Below are 16,411 nucleotides of genomic sequence, written 5' to 3' on the forward strand. Positions count from 1 at the left end.
TTATTAGTACCATGGCTTTGACAAATTTCTGAGATCCCAAATTGTCCAGGTAGCAGGAACCAAGAGGGTAATCTGGGTGGTCAGGCCTGGAGAAATCCCCTCACAATGTAAGTTAGTGATTTCATCAACTGTCTTTTAAAATAGTTGATTGTTCCTTGTAACTGAAACTGATGCTTCTCTAAATGTGTAATTTTAAAAGTTTTTATAGGATATGGGGGAAGGAGGAGGGATTCACTCCATTTGTACCAAACAATCCTAGAAAGCCAATGGGGTAAGCACACAAGAATGAAGACATGGGGTGTAGGGAGAAGAAGGAGTCTATTTTAAAAGGTCTAGAGTATGAGTAACTCCCAACTTTCATATGTGTATGAATTACCTGAAACCTTGCTAAAAGGCAGACATTGGTTCAATGAGTCTGGGTGGGATCTAGTATCTGCACTAGGTTGGACAGCTTGCATCAAGCTCCCAGGAAGCGCTGAGGCTGCTGGCCTGCAGACCACACTTTGAGCACTAAGGACTTGCACTATGTCACTAGTCAAAAGTTGGCTTCAAAAGATGGATTGTTTTTGAGGTAAGATGGCTGTTAGCCAACCCATTAAGACGCATTGGGCATTAATTTTATGTGTAATAGTAGGATGACTGCAAAACTTATAGTCAGAATTTGCAGGTTTCCATGCTGATTCTACCATTTTCTAGCAATAAAACTTTGGACAAGTCCCAGGTCATCTCTGTGTTCCAGTTTCTTCCTCTGATAAAATAGAGGTAACAAGATGTGCCATGGTTGGCTAACCACAGGGTAATCATGAGGGTCAGAGGAAACAACTTAGTGAAAGTGCCTTATGAACTGAAAGTGCTGCACATGTGTAAGCATTATTTTTATTACTGTGTTATTTGAAGTTAAACGTTACTAATTGCTCCCATTTCCACAGCTTTTATTTTAATAGATAGATCGATAACATTGGCAAGTGTCTGCTATTTACCTGATGCCATGTTAAGCACAATTTTACTCCTCACATCTCTAATAATATTAGTATTACTATTGTTAGCCCCATTCTGCAGAGGAAAAAGTGAGGCCCCCAGACAATAAGATAAGGCCCAGCTGTGAAGTGTTGATGCTGGATTATGAACTCAGCTTGATTCTCCAAAGTTTAGCTCTTATTTACTGCATTCAACTGATGGATCGTAGCAAACACCCAACATCATAGAAGAAGGTGATAGTCTAGAACAGGGGTTGGCATGCTTCTTCTGTAAAGGGCAAGATAGTAAACATTTAGCCTTTCTATGCCAAATGATTTCTCTTGCAACCATTCAATTCTCTCATTGCAGTGCAAAAGGAGTCATAGATGATTTGTAAAGGAATGGGTGTGGCTGTGTTGCAATAAAATGTCATTTCTAGAAACAGGTGGCAGGCTGGATTTGGCCTGCTGGCCATAGTTTGATGACCGTTGCTCTAGAAAATTCTGAGTTGTCCAACATGATAGTCGTTGGGCATGTGTGGCTGTAAATTCAGTTCCTCAGTTGCACTGGCCACATTTCAAGTACTCAATAGAAACATGTGGCTAGTAGCTACTGTATCAAATAGTGTAGAGAACATTTTCATCAACACAGGAAGTTCTATTGGAGAGCCCTGGTCTAGGTCATCTTTGGAGGTGGGAGGTGGGGAAAATCTTTTTATCAGTAGCTGTGAGGACATGGAAGCTCTGAGTCCTGGCTTTACTTCTTATATCTGACTCTAAGTAAATCACATCATCTCCCATAGGCTCCGTTAATACACACATAAAATGGGGATAATACCCTCTGTATCATGTTGTTGTGAGAACTGAATGAGAAAATATGTGAAAGGTACTTTGTAATCTGTTAGGGACTGCACAGACATAAGCCATTGTTAGGATTCTAATTGTTAGGTAAAATGTGAGAGAATGTGTGGAGGCAGAATTTGGGTAGGTGCCTAAATTGACAGACGATGTTTTCTTTGAAATCACTCTTGGGGGAGACATTGAGATGATAGAGAATTATCAGAATAAGGAAATTTTATTATTTTTATGGTATTCTATTTTTTGGACCATAAAAACAGTAAACAAGGCAAATCTCAGTGTCTGTTCACCTTTCAGAGCTTGGAATTGCCTTTGTAATGCTTAACACCCTCAGGAAATGGACAAAACTGTCCAGATAGGGGCTGTGATGAAATTGGCAGGCAATAGTGACCTTCCTGAGGGAAATCAAAGGTTTATTTTTTGCCACATTCAAAGTTAAAAAGGATGGTGCCATCACACATCAAAGGTTCTAGTTCTTTCCTGATGCTTCTCTTTCACAGGGGCCCCTTTTATACCACACAAGTCAAGAACAAAGCTCAATTCTGCCACAGAATGATCGACCAAGCCCTTGTCTGTGCAAATGGTTTTAACATCTCTGTGATTCCCAGGGCCTCCCTTCTCCCTGATTATTCCTCCCTGTTGCTAGTCCCTGCCATAAATCACCCTTGCAGAAAAATGCCTTCTCTTCCCATGAGTCTGTCATCCCCTCTTGTCCCTCAGGGTGCTGGGAGCCAGGCTACCCTCTAGTTCTAGGCCAATCTACTGCTATCACTCACTTGAATATACAGAAGAGAAGGTGTCTTCCTGTTTAGCCTGGACACACCCTCCTGATTTCTGCCTATAACTAGGAGTTATGTTTTGTATCTATCCTTTCCCTACAGCTTTTTCTATGAGCCTATCTCACACGTCTCTACCTTCTTTCCTGTTTCCTTTCCGTTATTTTTCACACTACTTAAGTACTCCAACAATTCACTCCTCTGCTGTCCAGCGAACACCCGCCTATCAGACTGGAAGGAAGGTTCCTGTTCTTACACACAGCTGATGCCAGTGTATATTAGTTAAACCTTTAGGAAAGCAATTTGGAAATATTTGTCTAAATCCTTAAAAATCTGGTCAAACTCCTTTGAACCAGTAATTCCACCTCTAAGGAAGTATTTAACTAATTAGACATACACTGAAAATTACTAAACAAAGATAATCATTATTGCATTATTTATACTACTAAGCAATTAGAAATAACCTAGTTGTCAACAATGGGAAAAGAATAAAACAAACACCAAATCTAGAAGCAGAAATAAAATGTACTAAAATATTAACAGTGGTTAAGTCTGGATATCTCTGGGGTTAACTCTGGTTATCTCTGAAGTACCAATGATTTTACTTTTTTCTTTTGCCCTTTTTACTTTTTACAATATGCATATTATTATATAATCAGAAAGCGATTAAAAAAATGAAAGTTCCCATTCTTCCAGGCTGGTTATTATATATTCCTCTGTAGTATTCTCCTTCGAGCATTCAAAGCGCACATTTACCAGCCAAGAGGTGTGTCCTTGGAGACAGCCACACAGGTCTTTCTCATATATACTTGAGAAGCAAAATCTAAGAGCTTGTTTTGGGGTCCTTTACGATGAACAGCCAGTTGAAAGGGGAGGAATTAAAGCCAAATGCCCTGAGGAAGAAGTTAGTCTGGTGTCAATGAAGAGGATGTGGTTGCCATTTCTGCCATAAAATCCCTCTTGTTGTCATTATTGTCCTTACAGTGCCGAAGAAATGGCTCTCACGCCCACAAACCTAAATAACAAAATGTCTCTGCAGATGAAGATGGACTGCCAGGAACAACAGCTGACTAAGAAAAACAATGGCTTTTTCCAAAAGCTCAATGTGACTGAAGGTGCAATGCAGGAGTAAGTCAGAACTGAGCTTGCAGAAGCAGTTTCTAGGGTCCCAACTGCAGACGTTCTTGGGCCAGCGGTATGCAAACGATGAGATTTCCAGGTTCAGAGTCTAGGTTGACAGTCTTCACTATAATTTATCTAATTTTAATCTCATGAATATTTACTGTAGTAGGCCTTATGAGAAGCTAAAGGGGCCCACCATCATAAACTGGGCAGATACAGATACCCATTAAAAAAAGTAATCTCAATTTGGGAAAATATGTGGATTGTTTTATGGCTTCATTATCTTCACTTGCTGAAGATCTAAGCCATTTAAAATACTTTCTGGCATAGAGGGAGTACAAACAGTGGTATAAACACATATATACATTTGCTAGTACGTGTTTAAAATGCATACTAGTTTAGCTATGATCAACACCTTTTTAACTAGGAAAACATTTTTAAGGTAAAAGATTTTCCAAGAATCCCTCATATGGCAAGAAAGCTATTATGATATCAAAGATGTTCTTAAATGCATTTATAATTTATTGAAGATAGTAGCATACGCATTTGTAAACTTTGGGCAGTTTTTCATATAAGTTTTTTCATATAAGCAATATTTATTCATTCTATCTAAATCTGTATAGATTCCAGGATCCCTTTCTAAGCAGATTAGATGTGAAGTGACTCAATACCCCCTCAACCCTGACAACACCTCCACCCTCTAGGTTCAAATCCCATAGACTTGGAACTACTTTTATAGACACATATCACACATTTATTGTGACCCATTCAAAAGCATACGAGAGGGAACATATAGGCTCTCTCCAGCAAAATATTAATAAGGGTGGTACTAATTAATTAAGCAAAATATTAAAGTGTGGTAGGGAATGGGCAAAGACTATCAACACATTTGTTTTAGAAAAGGAAATACAAATGAGTTTTATACACATAGGCAAAATACTCAACCTCACACATAAAATGAGACTAACACTAAATGAGATACCAGTTTAAACATACCAAGTTGGCAAGGATCAAAAACTTTAATAGCACATGGATTTAGACAAGGAGTGGGAAACAGGCACATTTTTGCTCGGAGTGAAAATTGATTCAACCTCTTTAAAGCATACTTTGCTAAAAATCTATCAAAATTTAGAATATACATATCTATTGACCTAGAAGTTCTACTTTTCGGGTTTTCCAATAGATATGCTGTGCACATACACAACAACCACATATAGATGTGTAAGGATATTCATTCCAGCATTGTTTGTGATAGCAAATGATTGGAAACATTCTACCTATCTGTTAATAAAAAAACTGATTGGAAAATTATTTTACAGCCCCACAATGGAATACCATATTGCCATTTTAAAAACGAAGCCGCTCTGTATGTGCTAATATGAAATGGACTCCAAAATAGGTTATTAAATAAGAAATTCAAAGTGCTTTGATGTATACACAGAATGGAGTGTATAAATATCCTCCCATATATTTTAAAGGGTCTATTCTGTATAATATATATAATATATACACGCATACATGCATACATAAACATCTCTGCTTATTTATGCATAGCATCTCTGTTGAAAATAAAGAAGCTAGTAAACATTGTGAGGAGGACAGCTGGCGGGGTGGAGATCAAGAGGGCACTGTAGACCTACTCCTCTCTGCCCATTTAAACCACATAAGGTTTTTAAACTCCACTTTTTAAAACAGGATATTAATTTACTTATTTGTTGATTGTGCACACTCATTTATACATACATATGCACAGAACTGCAATTACTTTGGAATTTGGAATCTCACTGTTAATTTATGGATTCAGCCAATTATTATTTATCCAGCCCCTCTATTTCTACTTGTGAGATATAATATGTGAGGTGTTATTCACCCAGAAAGAACTCAGTACAAGGATAGCAGATGCTCCCTGGGACTGGGGAAGATCTCAGTGTTCTCCCTTTAGAAAGGAGTAGTGCAGGCCCAAGCTCTGGCCCAAAGGCATAATAACAGCCTCTGTTTGGATTGTGTGGCTTGCAGTTTGCTAAAGGAAATTATCAAAGTGGACCACATCTTAGACAGATCGGATGATGAGGATGACATTTCCTCCGAAAACCCTCAAACTGACTTCCTTCACAAGGTAGACACTGAAAAATGGGTAAGAGAGACACTTAAATGACACAGTAGGTTGAAGAGAAGAACTTCACGCCGCATATCTTAAAGTGGTAAGAAAATATCTGAGGGTTTTCTTCTAATTGGTGCAGAACTTCAAAGCTTGAAATCAGGAGGGAGGCAGGGAATATGGCATTGTTCCCACTGGATGCTGCTGTTACCACATGAAGGACTTACTAGCCTTCCCATGCGAACAAAAAAGAAAAAAAAGTGAATTATATGTTATTTTTGTCCTCGGGAATTTATGAAATAACTGTGACATTTCTCACCTTCGAGCAAATCACCATATGACCAAATCACCATATGACCATACCCCCTCCTCACAGATTATCTTCCAGTAGAATTCAGCTATTCACCCCTAATGCAGCCTCCAGGAGAGAATCCTTCTTCAGGCTTCTGGGACTCCAGGCCTTCAGTGGCTTGTAGCTACATAACTCCTGGTCTCTTGTCTTCATCCTCACATGGTCTTCTCTTTGTCTGTCTTCTCCTCCTCTGTCTCTCATTAGGATGTTTGTCATTGGATTTAGGAACCCATTCAAGTAATCTGAGACGATCTTATATCAAGATTCTTAGTTTCATCTGCAAAGACTCTTTTTCCAAATAAGATAATATGCATGGGGTCCTAGTTCTGTATTAGGACATAGGCATTCCTTGTTTGGGACCACCACTTAACTCTCTATACTCTATGACCTTGGGCAAGTCACTAAATACAAATGGCCATGTGAGAATGAAAATAAATAATGCACATGAAACTAATTTGTAAAGAGTTACATGAATGTTAGTTATTTCTATTGACTTGGCCAGTAGTTTACGCAGACATTTAAAAAAGAAACTGATCTATTCTCCCTCCTCCAAACTTTTCTCCTTCCAGTTTAAAAATAGTTCTGTGAAACACAGGAAATTCAGATCAAACTTCTTCAAAGGACAGAAGAAATATTTCATAAAGAGTTACTAAAGAAGTGTTCAAGGATAAATCATTGTCGATTTTTGCATGCAGAGACTTGAAATAGCAGAACATGTCTTGGATGCTTTTCTAGAACATGGCAAAGAATACAGAAACAAAAAAGTAAATTGTATTGATCAAACTCATAGAGTAGGCGTTTTCCCCCAAACTCTTTTTGATATGAAACAGTTTAAAAGGTCAACTTAGAATTATGCAATGATTAACCATATTCCTACACCTGTATTTAAAAATCTTTCACATTTCTCACATTGGCTTTATCTTTGTGTATATAAATAGATGAAACTTTCTGAACCACTTAAAAGTAGGTCAAAGACAGCATGATATCTCATTCCTGTTTACTTCAGAAAGCGTCTCTAAAAATAAAACTTTCTCCTACAAAATACTGTTATCACATCTGGGAAAATTAGCATTAATATAATAATCTCAATTCTCTCAATATTCTAATTTCTTTAATTGTCCCCCAAATGTCTTTTACAGCCATATTTTTTAAACCAGCATCCCAAAAAGATCTATGCAATATGTTTGGTTTTCATATCTCTTTAGACTCTCTTAATATAGAATAGTCCTGCCACCTTTTCTTTTTTATGACATTGATTTTTTTTAAGAGACCAGAACAGTCATCTAATTTGAGTGGAGTTTTGGAGTCCGTGGTCAGATGGAATTCGATTACTCATCAGGACTGAAAAGAGCTCTCCGTGTGGACACTGATTCTCTCCATGCCCCTGCCTCAGCTTTCCTCTGTAGACAGAGCAGAAGGGCATGTCTGCTTAGCTTACAGATGCATCAGAAAGCTCCAGTCTCAGAGAGGACTATGTGCTTGACCCCAGCAAAGGGGGATTGGGTAGGGCTGGAAGAACCACCACATCTTGTACTAACCTTTTGTTCTGCTTTGCTTCCATCATCATCTTTACCAGGGTATGTTGGAGCTAGAGGCTGAGCATGACCAGGACCTGAGTAAACAGGATAAGCAAGAAACAGATGTTGATGAGGACCCTCAAGCGTCTACATCTCTGCAGTTTTCAAAGAAGAACCTCCTTGAACTGTAAGTCTTGACACATGCAAGACAGAGCATTTAATAATGTGTGGAGGGGAAAATAGAATTTAAGCAGATAACTTAGGGAAAGTCTGGAAGATTTAAAATCCATACATGTCTTGAACCATAAAGCAGTCCTGTGCATAGGTAACTACCTACATGATCTAGCAATAATGTGGTGTAAGGACATTTTAGGGATGTAGACAGAGCATGGGAAAAAAGAAAGAGCAAACTCTTCTTTGAGGCCTGAAATTAATATATATTTAAGCCTTCTCAGATAATTTTCTAGATAGGAAAACCATAATTATCATTAAGAGTATGTTGTTAAGCCCTTGTGGCTCTTTTCCCTATTGTATACCTCTCCTCCCCCAGAATGATGTAACCACTATCTTAATATCAATATTTAACATTCATTCCACACAGTGAAATTAAAAATATATCTTTTTTTATTAAACATAAAATATGCTTTGTTTTATAGAGTCTTTAAAGATCTGCTAAAGTGGATATCAAATAAATACCCAAACTTCTTTTCTTGAGGCTTGTGTGCCCACCTGGCCCATTTTGGTGACAAGGAAGACTAAACAGATCAACTCGCTATTCAAAGGAAGAGCATTTCAGGCTATGTGAATTGTTTCCCATTTTCTGCTTTGAAAATGATCACCATAATATTTCCGCAGGTGTCTGAAGGGCATGTTCCTCAAGCTAAACTACTGGAACACAAAGATAGGTCTCCAGGTGAAAGAACTTGGAGCTGATTACATAGACGGAACGGAGAAAATTGACAATATTATTAAAAAAATAAATGTAACAGAAAACACAGTGAAGAGGTAATTGTAGGGTGTTGGGGTTGGTCATAAAATAGCAGAAAGTTTCATAGCTTTAAAAATTTAAGAAACTTTGGGCTTAAGATGATAAAGTCTTTAGGCCATAGGTATACTTTCTTGGATGAAATATCTGTTTATCTTTTGCTCATTTAAAAAATTGGGTTGCTGGGTTGTTATTTATGGGTTGGTTTGTTCTTGCTTTTCTAGTTCCTTGTGGTACACTGTTGGATTGTTTATTTGAAATCTTTCTACTTTTTTGATGTGGGTGTTTATTGCTGTAAACTTACCTCTTTGTCAGGCTTTTGATGTCTCTGATAAATTGTGGTAGGTTGTTTGTTTTCATTTGTCTCAAGCAATTTTAATTTCTTCCCTAATTTCTTCCTTGACCCAATGGTCATTCAGGAGCATGTTGTTTAATTTCCATACATTTCTATATTTTCCAAAGTTCCTCTTGGTATTGATTTCTAGTTTTATTCCAGTGTAATCTGAGAAGATACTTGATATGATTGCAATGTTTTAAAATTTGTTAAGACTTGTATTGTGGCCTAACATATGGTCTATCCCAGAGAATGTTCCTCGTGCTGATGAGAAGAAGGTGTATTCTGCAGCTGTTGCATTAAATGTTCTGTAAATGTCTGTTAGATCCATTTAGTCCAAAGTGCAGTTTAAATCCAATGTTCCTTTGTTAATTTTTTGCCTAGATGATATGTCCAATGCTGTGAGTCTGGCATTAAAGTCCCCAACTGTTATTGTATTGAAGTCTGTCTCTCCCTTTAGATCTAGTAATATTTGCTTTATATATCTGGGTGCTCCAGTGTTGGATGCATATATATTTAGAATTGTTATATCCTCTTGTTAAATTGATCCTTTTGTCATTATATAATACCCTCCTTTGTCTTTTTTTATAGTTTTTGACTTAAAGTCTGTTCTAAGTATAGCCACTCCTGCTTGCTTTTGATTTCTGTTTGCATGAAATATTTTTTCAATTTCTTCACTTTCAGTCTACATGTGTCTTTACAGCGAAGTGAGTTTCTTTTAGGCAGCATATAATTGGGTCATTTAAAAAATCAATTCAACCACTCTATATCTTTTAAATGGGTAATGTAATCCATTTATATTCAAGGTTATTATTGATAAGTAAGGACTTATTCCTGTCATTTTGTTCATTGTTTTCTGGTTGTTTTGTATATCCTTATTTCTTTCTCTCTTATTGTTTATAATTGCAGTTTGATGGTTTTCTGTAGTGGTAATGTTTGATTTTTGTCTCTTTCTCATTTGTATATCTATTCTATCAGTGAATTTGATACTTTTGTGAGTTTTCATGTTTGTAGATTTTGTTCTTTCACTTCCAGATGTAGGATTTCTTTAAGCATTTCTTGTGGTGATGAATTATCTCACTTTTTCCTGGTCTGGGAACAACTTTATTTCTCTTTCATTTGTTGAAAGATAGTTTTGCTGGGTATAGTATTCTTGGCTGTCAGGTTTTTTTTTTTTTTTTTTTTTTTTTCCTCTCAGCACTTTGAATATATCATCCCATTCTCTCCTTGCCTATAAGATTTCTGCTGAGAAACCTGCTGTTAGTCTGATGGGGATTCCCTTATATGTGACTTGACACTTTTCTTTTGCTGTTTTTAGAATTCTCTCTTTGTCTTTGATTTTGACAGTTTGCCTGTCATGAGCCTTGGAGAAGACTTTTTTGATACAAATCTATTTGGGGTTCTTTGTGTTTTCTGTATTTGAATGTCTATCTCTTGCAAGACTTTGGAAGTTTTTAGCTATTATTTCATTAAATTTTTTTTAATGCCTTTGCCCACTTATTCTCTATCTGGAACTCCTAATATCCAAATATTGGTTTCCTTATGGTGTCCCAAATGTCAGGTAGGGCTTTCTTCATTCTTTTTCATTCTTTTTTTTTTTTTTTTGGCTGATTGGGTTATTTCAAAACACTTGTCTTCAAAGTTTAGAAATGTTTTCTTCTGCTTGATCTAGTCTATTATTTCAGCTCTTTATTATATTTTTATTTCATTCATTGAATTCTTCAGTCTCAGAATTTCTGTTTGACTCAGATTATGAATTGTTTTCTTGACTTCTTTGTATTGCTTACCTGTGTTCTCTTATATCTCACTGATTTTCTTTAGTTTCAATACTTTGAATTCTTTTTCAGGCATTTCATAGATTCCCTTTTCATTGGGATGTTACTGGAGAATTATTGCACTCCTTTGGAGATGTCATGTTTCCTTCCTTTTTCATGTTTCTTTGGTTCTTACATTGATATCTATACATCTGGTGTAATAGTCACTTCTTCCAATTTTATGCATTGGCTTTCATAGGGAAAGATTAGGTTTTCCTAAAGCTGTATTTATAGTGTTAGTTGAGTAGGGTGCTTTGGCTTTGATTATTGGTGGGTGGGCATACTAGTGTAGTCTCTACATGATTTCTTTGGTTGTAATCAGCGTCAGTGGTATCTGTAAGTTCATCAGTGGCTTAGGCTGTGCTTATTTGTGGAGGCTGTGGCAAACTTTACTGGGGACAGTTACCCTAGGCAGATTGGTCCTCAAGTGCTAGTGGTGGTGGCAGCAGGGTGGGAATGCCTGTCCTCAGGTCCCCATGCAGCATATGCATGCACCAGTGGTGGTTAGTCTGGGTGGGCCAGATCTTTGGCTTCTAGGCAGCTTGCTTGATTGCTGACAGTGGCAGCAGTGGCTGAGAAGGTGGGTCATCATGTCCCTGGGCACTGTGTGTGGCACTGACAGTGGCAATAGTAGCAGCAGGCCAATCCTTGGATTCCCAGGCAGCATGTGCACATTGCCAGCAGTGATGGCAGTGAGCTGGGGGGGCCAGTCCTCAGGCCCCTAAGAGTCATGCATGGGTAGATACCAGTGATGGCGGCAGCTGTAGGCTGGGCAGGCTGGTCCCTAAGCCCCCAGGAAACACACATAGGTGCAGGCAGCAGGAAGGGTGGGCCTATCACCAGGCCCTTGAACAATGTACATAGGCAGTGGCAGTGAGCAGGGCCCATCCTCAGGCCCACAGAAAGCAAGTGTTGGTACCCTGAAGGCAGGGCAGGTTGATCCTGAGGTTCCCAAATGATGTGTGGCAGGCACTGGTGCTGGCAACACGGGGGGCGGGCCTGTCCTCAAACTCCTCAATGATGCACACAAGTCCCCAGTGCTATTGATGGTGGCAGTGGCAGGGTGGACCTGTCCTCAGGCCCTCAGATGGCATGAATGACTGCCAATAATGGCAGGCAGAGTGAGTTGATTACCAGGCTCCTGGATAGCATGCTCAGGCAGCAGTAGGGGTGGGTTGAACAGGACTGTTGTCAGGCCCCTTGATAGTGTATGTGGGTGTCAGTGGCTATGGGTGGAGCAAGTCAGTCCCCAGGCCCCTAGGCAGTGCAGCAATAGAATACCAGCAGTGGTGCTGATAAGTGGGATGGGCCTGTCATCAGGTCCCCTGATGGTGTGCATGGGCTGGCAGAGGCAGGCCTGGTTGGCTGATATCTGGGCCCCTGGATAGTGTGCCCTGGTGCCAACAGTGATGGCAGTGGGTGGGGTAGGCTGCTCCTCAGGCCCCTGGGTGGTATGCACAGGTGCCAGTAGTGGCTAGTGGGTGGACCTGTCATCTGGCCCCAGGATGGTGCTCAGGTGGGCCAGTCCCCAGGCCTCCTGAAGGTGTGTGCAGCTGCAAGGCAGCCCTGCTGCTGGAGGCTCCAGGGTTGCTGTCTGTATTTGTCAGGGTTCTCTAAAGAGATAGCACCAATAGGATATATCCATATCGATAGCTGCATTAGTTTATTAGGGAGAACTGGCTCATATGATGACATGGTGATATGGTTTGGCTGTGTCCCCGCCCAAATCTCATCTTGAATTGTAGCTCCCATAATTCCCGTGTGTTGTGAGAGGGACCCAGTGGGAGGTAACTGAATCATGGGAGCGGGTATTTCCTGTGCTTTTCTTGTGATAGAGAATAAGTTCACAAGATCTGATCGTTTTATAAAAGGGAGTTCCCCTACACAAGCCCTCTCTTGCCTGCCACCATGTAAGACATCCCTTTGCTCTTCCTTCATCTTCCACCATGATTGTGAGGCTTCCCCAGCCATGTGGGACTGTGAGTCCATTAAAAAGTCTTTCCTTCATAAATTACGCAGTCTCACACGTCTTTACTAGCAGCATGAGAATAGACTAATACACATGGTGAAGTCCCACGATACGCTGTCTGGAAGCTGGGGAAAGAGAGAAGCCAGTAGCATGGCTCAGTCCAAGTCCAAAAGCCTCAAAACCAGGGAAGCCAACAGCATAGCCCTCAGTCTGTGGCTGCAGGCCCAAGAGCCCCTGGAAAGCAACTGGTGCAAGTCCCACAATCCAAAGGCCAAAGAACCTGGAGGCTGATATCCAAGGGCAAAAGGAGAGGAAGCAAGTGTCCAGCATGGCACAGGAAGAGAGAGAGAGTGAGCAGACTCAGCAAACAAGCTGCTTCTTCCCCTTTTCTGCCTGCCTTGTTCCAGCTGTGCTGGCAGCCGATTGGATGGTGTCCACCCACACTGAGGGTGGGTCTTCCTCTCCCAGTCCACTGACTCAAATGTCAATCTCCTCTGGCAACACCCTCACAGACACACCCAGGAACAATGGCTCCTCAGGCCCCTGGGTGGCATGCACAGGTGCCAGTAGTGGCTAGTGGAGTGGACTTCCCAGCCATCTAAGCATCCCTTAATCCAGTCAAGTTGACATCTAGTATTAACTATCACAAGTCAACCCCTTGTCAACTTGGCACTCATATGGTTTGGATGTCTGTCCCCACCCAATCTCATTTTGAAATGTGATCTCCTATGTTGGAGGTGGGCCTAGTGGGAGGTGTCTAAGTCACAGGGGCAGATCCCTCATGAATGGCTTGGTGCTGTCCTCAGGATAATGAGTGCGTTCTTGATCCGAGTTGACATGAGATCTGGTTGTTTAAAAGAATGTGGCACCTCTCCCCCCCCTCTCTCTCTCTTGCTCCTGCTCTCACCATGTGATACGCTGGCTACCCTTCATCTTCCACCATGATTGTAAGCTTCCTGAGGCCCTTACCAGGAGCCAAGCAGATATTGGTGCCATGCCTGTACAGCTTACAGAACCATAGGCCAAAATATACCTCTTTTCTTTATAAATTACCTGGTCTCAGGTATTTCTTTATAGCAATGCAAGAACAGACTAACACACTGTCAGTGGCAGAGACTCCTGGCTCTGGGAAGCCCAAACTTTGGCTCCCTTTGTCCTTGGGGCAGCCTTCCTTACCCTGTTCCCTGGGTGTAATACACTGCTTGAGCTAGAGTGCTGGGGACCTGACTGCATGCTGGATTCAGTTGGCATGGTGATACTGCAGCTCTGGGTGCACGTAGAGGGATGTCGGCAGGGCTTCAGGGATGTGGAAATGCAGGGGCTATTGGGCCCCAGGGCAGGAGGTAGTCTGTGGCTGCTGGGCTCTCAAAATGGTGCCGTGCTGCAGTTGCTTTGGTCTCAGTGGGTGTGTAAGACCCCTGACAAACTTTGTCTGAAACAGTTATCACATGGACTCCAGACAGCTCCCTATACTGGTCTCAGGGCCTGCAAAGGCCGAGGAACTCTCCTGTGGCTAGGACTGCAGAAGTTGAATGTGGACCACTAGGGATCTCTTACCTTTTCCCTCTAATGGAGAGTTCCTCCTGGAGGGGTATTGCCCTACAATTTTCTTTTCTTGTAATGTCTAGTTTTAATATCAGAATAACACTTGCCATGTAGAAAACCATTAAGATTTTCCCCGGACCTGTTTGGTTTTCTGGCTAAGTTTGTGTAGAAGTGGTATAATTTCTTCCTTAAATGTGGGATTGGATTCACCAGGGAAGCTGTATTGCCTGGAAATTTCTTTGTGGTAAGGTTTTTAATTAAAAATTTAATTTATGAATTTTATTTTGTATCTATTAATTTCTTTAATAGATGTAATAGGGCTATTCAGGATATATTGCTAAAGATATTAAGTTGATTGTACCTTTCAAACAATGTGCCCATTTTATCAAAGTTGTCAAAGATATTGACATAAAGTTATCCGTAACATTCCCTTATTATATGATGTCTTTAGCATCTGTATTGATGTCTCCTCACTTATTCCTGAAATTGAATATTTGTGTCTTCTTTTCTTTTTGTTGTATCAGTCTGGATAGAGATCTATACATTTTTTGGTTTGCTAAAAGACCCAGCTTTTGATTTCATTGGGTTTTTTGCTATTGTTTTTCTGGCTTTTTGAAAATTTTCATTTGATTCTGCTTTTTTTTTTTAATTATGTCCTTTCTTCTGCTGACTTTAGGCTTATGTTGCTATCCTCTTTCTAATTTCATGAGGTGAACTTTAGGTCATTGATTTGAGATCTCTTGTCTTTTTCTATTATAATAATCAGTTAGTGCTCTGCACTTCCCTGTAAGCACTGTTTCCACTGCATCAAACTGATTTTTATATATTGTGTTTTCATTTTCAATCAGCTCAGAATACATTCTAATGTCCCTTTTGATCTCTCCTTTGACCCATGGATTATTTTTATATCTGTAAATATATTTTAATGTTTTATATTTTGAGATGGAGTCTCGCTTCATCTCCATCAGCCCAAGCTGGAGTGCAATAGCATGATCTTGGCTCACTGCAGCCTCTGCCTCCCGGGTTCAAGCATTTCTCCTGCTCAGCCTCTCGAGCAGCTGGGATTACAGGCATTCGCCACCATGCCTGGCTAATTTTTATATTTTTGGTAGAGGCAGGGTTCCAGCACGTTGGCCAGGCTGGTCTTGAACTCCTGACCTCAGGTGATCCGCCCACATTGGCCTACCAAAGTGCTTGGATTACAGGCATGAGCCACCACACCCGGCCAACCCATGGATTATTTAAAGTATGTTTTAGTTTCCAGGTATGTAGAGATCTTCCAGATACCGTTCTCTTACTGACTTCTCAGTTAAGTCCATTGTGACCAAAGAACAAATTTTATGTTACTTGACTCCTTTTAATTTTTTTCTTTTTTGAGACAAGGTCTCGCTCTGTTGCCCAGGCTGGAGTGCAGTGGCACAATCACAGCTCACTGCTCAACCTCCCAGGCTCAAGCAATCCTTCCACCTCTGTTTCCCTAGTAGTTGGGACTGCAGGTGCACACCACCAGGCCCAGCTAATTTTTGTATTTTTTGTAGAGACAAAGTTTCGCCATGTGGCCCAGGCTAGCCTTGGACTTCTGGCCTCAAGCAATCCTCCCTTCTTGACCTCCCAAAGCGCTGGGATTACTGGTGTTAACCACCGTGCCCAGCCAACTCCTTTTAAATGTATTGAGACTTGTTCTATGGCGCTGAATATGGTCTATCTTGGTAAATGATATGTGTGCAATACAATAGTAGAATGTGTATTCTACTATTGTTTGAGTAGAGTAGTCTACAAATATCAATCAGGTCAGGTTGGTTGATAGTGTTATCCAAGTCTTCCAGGTACTTATGGATTTTCTCTCTACCTCTATAGATGATCAATAGAGGAGTGTTGAAATCTCCAACTGTAACTGTAGATATGTCTATTTCTGCTTGCAGAGCTATCAGTTTTTGCTTCATGTACTTTGAGGCTCTGGTTTTAGTTGCATGAATGTTAGGACTGTTATGTCTTTTTGAAGAACTGATCCCTTTATCATTATAAATGATTTCTTTATCCTTCTCTTTGTTTTTTTTCTTTTTCGAGACAGTCTTGCTCTGTCAC

At 40.2% G+C, this 16,411-nt stretch overlaps 1 protein-coding gene across 7 annotated transcripts in view, besides 2 other annotated features; it reads left to right on the forward strand.

The window, feature by feature from the left end:
- The window catches only part of SMCO2 (single-pass membrane protein with coiled-coil domains 2), a 78,870-nt gene that overhangs the window by 43,732 nt on the left and 18,727 nt on the right, over positions 1 to 16,411 (forward strand). For 4 of the 7 annotated variants that reach the window (XM_047428775.1, NM_001395208.2, XM_011520636.3 and 1 more), the window contains exons 2-5: positions 3,575 to 3,718; positions 5,729 to 5,828; positions 7,739 to 7,866; positions 8,535 to 8,684. In XM_047428775.1, coding sequence (XP_047284731.1) covers positions 3,585 to 3,718; positions 5,729 to 5,828; positions 7,739 to 7,866; positions 8,535 to 8,684 — 512 coding nt within the window. In that variant the 5' untranslated portion in view covers positions 3,575 to 3,584. The remainder of the gene's footprint in view (positions 1 to 3,574; positions 3,719 to 5,728; positions 5,829 to 7,738; positions 7,867 to 8,534; positions 8,685 to 16,411) is intronic. The other 3 variants (XM_047428776.1, XM_017019254.2, NM_001387218.3) reach the window with 2 other exon arrangements.
- Positions 7,057 to 8,256: an enhancer, noted in NCBI's record as "CDK7 strongly-dependent group 2 enhancer chr12:27627037-27628236 (GRCh37/hg19 assembly coordinates)". NCBI's record gives its function as "activates an origin of replication core promoter dependent on BRD2, BRD4, P300/CBP, MED14 and CDK7 cofactors, with strong dependence on CDK7, by STARR-seq in HCT116 cells {active_cell/tissue: HCT116}" and the evidence as "EXISTENCE:reporter gene assay evidence [ECO:0000049][PMID:35650434]".
- Positions 11,456 to 11,956: an enhancer, noted in NCBI's record as "H3K4me1 hESC enhancer chr12:27631436-27631936 (GRCh37/hg19 assembly coordinates)". NCBI's record gives its function as "activates a minimal SCP1, AML or CMV promoter by ChIP-STARR-seq in naive H9 embryonic stem cells {active_cell/tissue: H9 hESC(naive)}" and the evidence as "EXISTENCE:reporter gene assay evidence [ECO:0000049][PMID:30033119]".

This window comes from Homo sapiens, chromosome 12, assembly GCF_000001405.40.
Source record: "Homo sapiens chromosome 12, GRCh38.p14 Primary Assembly".
NCBI classification, from domain to species: domain Eukaryota; kingdom Metazoa; phylum Chordata; class Mammalia; order Primates; family Hominidae; genus Homo; species Homo sapiens.